The sequence below is a fragment of the Homo sapiens genome, chromosome 10, assembly GCF_000001405.40.
Source record: "Homo sapiens chromosome 10, GRCh38.p14 Primary Assembly".
NCBI lineage: Eukaryota > Metazoa > Chordata > Mammalia > Primates > Hominidae > Homo > Homo sapiens.
In genome coordinates, this window is record NC_000010.11 from 61,218,896 (window position 1) to 61,227,492 (window position 8,597).

An 8,597-nucleotide genomic window follows, 5' to 3' on the forward strand; every position below is an offset into this window, starting at 1 on the left:
TTTTTTTCTGTGATTTATAATTATTAGCTCATTTAAACCTCACACTTTTATCCCCATGGTATAGATAAGAAAATCAGAGTTTATGAGTTTGGTAACTTTGTTAACAATTTATTGCTAGTAAATATTGAAGACAAGGTTTGAACAACTCTATCCTCTGAGTCCTCTTAACCAACATAGCACACATATAATAAAATGTATTGAGATACCTAGAAGATATCAAATACCTTAAAGATTGTTACTGATATCAAGAAGAACAAGGATACTTTACCATAACCATGGAGGCCACTGCAGTTTTAGCTTTACAGAAATTTGACCAGAAACAGAGTGCTCCCATATATTAATACTTCCTCTTCTCCACACTTCCCCGCCCCCACAGTTTCCCCTATTATTGACATCTTGCATTAGTGCGGTGCATTTGTTATAATGTATATGATGAGTAAATATTGGTACATGATTATTTAACCAAATCTCGTAGTCATATTAGGACTCTCTCTGTGTTGAACAGGTCTATGGGTTTTATCTCATGTACTCACCATCACAGTACATACAGAATGCTTTCACTGCCCTAAAAATCACCTGTACTTCTCCTTTTTATCCCTCCTTCCCTCCCTCTCCTTAGCCCACTGAAAACCACTAATCTTTTTACTATCTCTGTAATGTTGCCTTTTTCAGAATGTCACATAGTTGGAATCATAGAGTATGTAGCTTTTTCAGACTGGCTTCTTTCCCTTAGCAATACGCATTTAATGTTTTTCCATGTATTTTGAGGGCTTAAGATCTCATTTCTTTTTATCACTGAATAATATTTTATTGTCTGAATATACCATAGTTTAACCATTCACCTACAGAAAAGTGTCTTAGTTGCTTCCATATTTTGGCAATTATGAAGCTGTAATAAACATTTGAGTGCAGATTTTTGTGTGGACATGTTTTCAACTCATTTAGGTAACCAAGAAACGTGATTGCCAGATCATATGCTAAGATTATGTTTAGCTTTGTAAGAAACTGCCAAACTATCTGCCAAAGTGGCTGTACCATTTGCATTCAGCAACAAATGAGAGAGTTCCTATTACTTCATACCCTTGTCAACATTTGGTATTGGCAGTGTTTTGGATTGTAGCTATTCTAATAGGTGTGTGGTGGTGTCTCATTGTTTTAATTTGCAATTGCCTAAAGATATATGATGCTGAGCTTATTTGCCATCTGCATATCTTTTTTGGTGAGGTGTCTTTTCAGATCTTTTGCCTATTTTTTAAGGGTTGTTTTATTTTTTATATTGCTGAGTTTTAAAAGTTGCTTATTTTGGGTAACAGTGTTTTTTTTTTCCATTTTTTCCTTTGCATTTTGCAAAAATTTTCTGCCAGTCTGTCACTTGTCTGTTCATTCTCTTAACAATGTATTTGAAGAGCAGAAGTTTTTAATTTCAATAAAGTTCAAGTAATCAATTAGTTTTCAATGGATTGTGCCTTTGTTGTTATATCTAAAAAGTCATCACCATGCCCAAGTCAGCTTGATTTACTCGATTTTGTCTTCTAGAAGTCACACAGTTTTGCATTTTACATCTAGGTCTATGTTCCATTTTCAATTACATTTTAAGAGAGGTATAAAATCTAAATTAACTTTTTTTTTGCATATGGATGTCTAGTCATTTCACACCACTGTTGAAAAGACTATCCTTTCTCTATTGAATTGCCTTTGCTCCTTTATCAAAAATCAGTTGGCTATGTTTGTGTGGGTCTATTTCTGGTCTTCTACTCTGTTTCATTGATCTATCTATCTGTTGTTCACTAATATCACACTGTCTGGATTACTGTAGCTTTGTACTAAATCTTAAAGATGGGTAACTTTGTTCTTCTTCCTTTTACAATATTGTGTTGGTTCTTCTGAATCTTTTGCCTTTTCACATAAACCATCTAATTAATTTGTGGCTAGTCACAAAATAACTTGTTCAGATCTTAACTGGAACTGTGGTGAATATGTAGATCAAATTAGGAAGGCTGAAATCTTAACAATATTGAGTCTTCCTACCCATAAACATGGAATATCTATCTATCTATCATTTACCTATCTATCTATGTCTTCTATGTATTCTTCATCAGAGTTTTGTAGTTTTTATATTTATATACACACAGCTTTTATATTTATACAGACATACACACACAGAAAGAGAGACAGAGACAGAAAGAGACAGAGAGTAAGAGAAAGATTACTTACACTGTATAGATCCTAAAAGAAATATAAAACTATATGCTATGAAAATAAGCTAATATAATCCCTTATTTTAAAAATGGAGAAACAGAAGCCCAGAAAGAAGATGAGATTGGCCCTCCAACTGGTTAGAGATGGAGGCAGAACTAACACCCAAGTTTTCTGACCTATAGAAGAGTCAAAGACTAATAGACCATTTTTGTTTTTTTAGTTTGGTTTTTTCATAAAATCATGTAGATCCTTGTACTAGTTACCTATTGCTGCCTAACAAATGACCTCAAAATGTGACAGTCTAAAACTTAATAAAAAATTTATTATCTCACAGTTGTGGGCCAAGAATCCAAACTTGGCTTACATGGCTTAGCTGAGAGCCTCTGGCTGAAGATATCATGTTAGGTTAGAACAAGATGTAGTATCATCCAAAGAATCAAATGGAGGAAGATGCACTTTCAAGCTCATCCACATGTTTGTTGGTGGGCCTCAGGTTCTGGCAACTTTGTCCTCTCCAAAGGGCTACTGGCTTCCTCCAGGATAAATGATGAGAGAGAAAGAGAGGAAGGGAGGGAGAGAGAGACAGAGAGAGAGAGAGAGAGAGAGAAAGAGAGGACGAGCCTGAGATAGAAGTGATAGTCTTTTATAACCTTGAAAATGACATCTTGTCACTCCTACCACATTCCATTCATCAGAAGTGGGTCATTAAATGAAACCCACGCTCAAGGGAGGTGATTAGACAAGAATGTGAATACCAGGAGGCAGGAACCATCAGGTGTCATGTTCAAGGCTTCTACCATAACCCTGCTTTCTGCCTTCAGTCTTTCAGTGACAAAGTAATCAAGAGATAGAAGCAATTGATGGTGGATTCACACTCAGTAGCATTCTTTCTTTACTCAGAGAAGAACTGAACTATTGATCATGGAGGAGGTGACCACTGATACTTCTGCATAATAACATACTTTGATCTTCATGAAGTCACCAGCAAGCTCTAATTTAAGATCACAGCAAAACTGTTAAGTCTATTCTTCTCTGCACATATAGGCCTGACCATATGTAGTTCTCTCACCAGAGGACTTTTTAAGCAAAAAAATCTATCCCATATCAGAAAGACTTTAAAATTTCAAAAACCTTTAAACTGAAATAGTTTTCTGATACACTTTTTTACGTGGTTTTAGAACACATACATGCAAAGAATATATGATTATAAAATTCAATAACACTAAATTGGGAGCATCATAAAAAAGCAAAGAGATATATTTATTTTTTTGTCTCTTTAAAAAAAATTACCTGGTCTTCAAAACAGCCCTGTGAGCTATGTGATACTATTATTTCATACATGAGAAAGGGAGATCTGATAATTTGCTCAATTTCATGCATCTTTACTTGACCCAGAACCTTGATTACATGGTGGCAGGATTAGATTGAGGTAATCTATATGCCTCTTAACCAAATAAGAGAAAGAACGAAAAATCTTGAAAGAGGGGAAGAAATCCTTGTGTGCCTTCATCTCATAATTGGACACTCCTTCTTTGGCCACTTTCTTTGAAAAGATTCCTTTTTAAAAAGACTGCTGGAGGCAGAGGGAAAAAATGTGATTTAACCTAGGGCTTAGAATAAGTCCTGTGAATCTCTAAAACTTTGTTGGAGATGTCATACACTGGAAAGAACTATACTTAAAAGCTTCAGGCTTTTCTCTGATTCGCCTTTTATATGATTTGTGAACATAAAGTCATTATGCAGATGTTCTCTGCACTGAAAGACCACTTTGATAAACCTTGAAGTTTTTCAAAGATAAAGCAAATTTGAAAATAGAGAGATTCAAGAAAATGTGGATCCAAAAGCTGAACAGTTCTCCATAATATTGTAGAAAGCTATTTTTATTTTAGTTGGCATTTCATCCTATTGTATTATGTTTCCCTTAGGAAAAATATATTTTCCAAGTTAACATTTAGATTGATTAATCTCCAAAAAATATTTACTGTACTTGGATAATGGGCATGAATTCTTTTTCCATAATTGGGGCAGAGGTCAAAAAGACCCAGGAGATTGAAGGTGTCATGGCAATGTTTTCATGTGATCTTGAAATGAATTGGATTGAAATTTCTAAAGCTCAACTTTTGACTGTTTTGTAGAAGTATCACATATGGTGTTTTCCAGAATGAATAAACCAGGCTTTTCAAAATATATTGATGTTGTCTATTGTGCTAATGTCAAGGAATGAAGAGAGGCAGATAATAAGGCCTAATTTCTGTGAGACCTAGTGGGAATTGCTCTGGAAAGAATGGACTTCCCTGATGCCAATCACTCCTTGAAGAAAGGTTGCCTTCCATGAAAGAGTAAAAGTGTCCAGATATATCCTCCTACTGTTAACAACTAGAAAACAGGACAAAATATATGAAACAATTGTCTTCCATCATTATACAACAGACAGTTCAGGGCTGTGATTTCTGAAAGAAGGTAAACAAATAAAGTGAGCTCCACAGTTGCCCTGGCTTTATGCCTGGAGGCATTTAAAACTATGGCACAGGGAGGGGGAATCCAAACATAGTCTAGAAGCCTTGTGGATTTGGAGATACAGCATTTGGAAACCAGAAATGGTGAGGTGGCTATAATTTGAAAGGCAGATTACTAAGAAAGGGACATATGCAGAGAAATAGCTCCAGAAATATGTGTATGTCTGTCCTTGAGTCTTTGACTAAATACCAATCTGCACATGCAAGAGTGACACAAAGTTGGACAAAGAACAACTTCTGAGAAAAGAAAATTTAGTAGGATTGGAGGGCAGGGGGTGCAAACCAAATGATTCCCAGATTTTGTTTTTTTGAGATGGAGTCTCATTCTGTCACCCAAGCTGGAGCACAGTGGTATGATTACAGCTCACTGCAGTCTCACCCTCCCCTGCCTCAGGTGATCCTCCCACCTCAGCTTCCTGAGTAGCTGGGACTATAGGCATGCATCACCATGCCTAGTTAATTTTTTGTATTTTGTATAAAGATAGGCCTTTGGCATGTTGCCCAGGCTGGTATCGAACTACTGGGCTCAAGCAGTCTGCCTATTTTTGCCTCCCAAAGTGCTGGGATTACAGGCATGAGCTACCATGCCCAGCCAATTCCCAGAATTTATACAGGATTTGGCATCATGTAAATTCCAAAGCCTCATGAAGAAACCTGAATGATTACACAGTTCATCAAAGACTCCTAAAGGAAAAGCTAGTCTATACTCTATGAAAATGGTTAAACTCAAGACTCAAAAGGATCAAATTGATGTGCAAATTGTCTAATTACCTGTGGGAACACAGTAAACATTATTTAAAGAAATATAACAAAATTCAGAATTCTACAAAATAAAATCACAACATCCAGGATCCAATAAAAAATCACTAAGTATACTAAGAAGCAGAAAATTTTAATACATAGCCAGGATAAAAATGAGTCAAGAGACATCTGGTTTTTAGTCTGAAAGGTAAAGAGCTTGAAAGTTGTCACTCCCATCCTTACAACAAGAGAAATATTGAACAAACTTAAAATCAGCAACTCTTTTTAAATCCATCAGAGAATTGATGCCACAGGACAACCCACTGGTCACCAAATTAGAAGATCACAACTTACCGCAGCAGACGCCCAGGAGCAGAAACCTTAGTGGCAATCAGTATTGGGGTAGGGAAACTTAAATTGTAATTGATAAATTGCTAGAGGCTCAGTATGGGTGAGTGTAAGAGTTAAAAATTCCAGATAGAGAGAGTAGTCTTGGGGAGGGGGACACACACTTATGTGAATTTTACTTCTAAGATCCCTACAAATTCTCACAGTGAAGATTAGAGAAAAATCTCCTTGTGTTTCAGCAGGAGGGAGGAAAAAGCAGACATTTTGGAATATGCCCAGAAAATTTTGTTTTTCTTAACAAGCTCTGCCTTCAAGAGAAAGTATTTTACCACAGTCTAGCTAACTGGGGTTTTACTAGGGCCTAATTGACCCAAGAGAAGGGAAACACCCAGTTCCTACTAGCCTTCCCGTTTCACCAAAGAGTGAAACAAAACAAAACGTTATTAAAAAGCATTTGTGAATGTCACAGCTTGGGGGTACAAGCAAACTAAAAAAATGAGACCAAATTATAGGATGATAGAATACCTTACCTTTCCCCACATGTTAAAAACACATTAATAGGTCTTTTGTGTAATAAAACTGTAATGTAACTATGTCTCAGAACTTATTTAAGAGGAAATCTCTAGAAAAGCCTCAAAACAATAGGGAGACAAAAACAGTACATCAGAGAAAATTTTTGCATTTGACATCTACAGCCATAGCAAACAATAAACACAATCTAAGCCCAAGCCATATAAACATAAAGCCTCACACTAAATGCCTACTTAGTTCAGTTTATTTTACCCAATACATCATATCTTGCTTTCAAAAAATTACAAGACATACTAAAAGACAAAAAAGACAGTTTGAAGAGACTGAGCAAGCATTGAAACAAGACTGAGATGTGGTAGAGGTATTCAAATTCAAATTATTGAACCAGTAATTTAAAATAACTATAATTAGGGCCAGGTGCAGTGGCTCATGCCTGTAATTCCAGCACTTTGGGAGGCCGAGGCAGGTGGATCACCTGAGGTCAGGAGTTCAAGATCAGCCTGGCTAACATAGTGAAACCCCGTCTCTACTAAAAATACAAAAAATTAGCTGGGCATGGTGGTGGGCACCTGTGATCCCAGCTACTCAGGAGGCTGAGGCAGGAGAATCACTTGAACCCAGAGGGTGGAGACTGCAGTGAGCTGAGATCACGCCATTGCACTTCAGGCTGGCAACAAGAGCGGAACTCCATCAAAAAAAAAAAAAAAACTACAATTAATATGCTAGGCATTCTACTGAAAAAAGCAGACAATACTCATGAATAGATGGGTAATGTAAGCAAAGAGATGGAAACTCAATATTGTTAAAATATCAGGAAGAATGAAAAAAGAAATACTAGAAATAAAAAACACTTTAACAGAATTAAAAAATACCTTCAATGGGCTCATTAGTACACTGAACACAGCTGAGAAAAAAAAAATCAGTGAGCTTGAAGAAGTCAATCAAAACCTCCAAAACTGAAATGCAGTGTATGATGACACCTTGGTAATGCTGCAGACTCCTCAGTGTGCAGTGAAGAGGTGAACTTTGAAGAGTCACATATGTGAAAAAAAAATGCATGGAGCAAAAAATGAAAAATACAGAACAGAATATCTAAGAACTGTAAAACAATTACAAAAGGTGTAACATATATAATAAGAATACCAGAAGATGAAGACAAAGAGAAAGGGAACCCAATGAGATATTTGAAATAATATTGATTGAGAATTTCTCAAAGTTAACACCTCCAAACAACAGGCACCAAAAAAAATCAACCCGGCTGGGTGCGGTGTCTCACACCTGTAATCCCAGCACTTTGGGAGGTTGAGGCGGGCGGATCACAAGGTCAGGAGATCGAGACCATCTTGGCTAACACAGTGAAATCCCGTCTCTACTAAAAATACAAAAAATTAGCCGGGCGAGGTGGCGGGTGCCTGTAGTCCCAGCTACTCGGGAAGCTAAGGCAGGAGAATGGCGTGAATCCCGGGGGGTGGAGCCTGCAGTGAGCTGAGATGGCGCCACTGCACTCCAGCCTGGGCATCAGAGCGAGACTCCATCTCAAAAAAAAAAAAAAAGAAAAAATCAACCCTTATGCATATCAGGTTCAAATCTCAAAAAATCAATGACAAAGAAAACTATGAAAGAAACCAGAGCCGATGGGAAACACCTTCCCTGTACAAAAGCAAAGATTAGAACTACATCAGACTTCTCTTCAGAAGCCATGAAACAAAAAGAGAGTAGAATGAAAATATTTAATGTGTTGAAGAGTAAAAATAGCCAACCTAGAAAATTTTTATCTGTGAAATTATGCTTCAAAATTGAGGAAAAATTGAAGACTTCCTCACATAAAATTAAGGGAATTTGTTGCCAGTAAACCTACCTTGCAATAAATGTTAAAAGAAGTCCTTCAGAAAGAAGGAAAATGCAATAGGTTAGAAATTTGAATCACATGATAAATGTGGATCATAAATAAATACATTCTATTTTTATTATTCATGATTTACACATATAGCTATTTAAACATATAGCTATTTGTTTAAAATAATAAGTAGCAACAATATATTCAGCGATTATCACTTATTGATAATTAAAATGAATGGCAGCACTGTTATGAGATACGGGAAGGGGGAATTGGAAATATCCTGTTGTAATGTAACTACAGTATCTATGAGGTGGTACAGTGTTATTTGAAAGAGGGCTTGGATTACTTGTAAGTGTACATTGCAAACTTAAAGGAAACCACTAAAATAGTAGAAGTGGTATAATTGATATTGATAATTGATA

At 36.3% G+C, this 8,597-nt stretch overlaps 1 pseudogene; it reads left to right on the top strand.

Annotated features, from left to right (window-relative positions):
* Positions 1-7,300: 7,300 nt before the first annotated feature.
* LOC124900292 (uncharacterized) lies at positions 7,301-7,374 on the top strand (annotated as a pseudogene).
* The last annotated feature ends 1,223 nt before the right edge of the window (positions 7,375-8,597 follow it).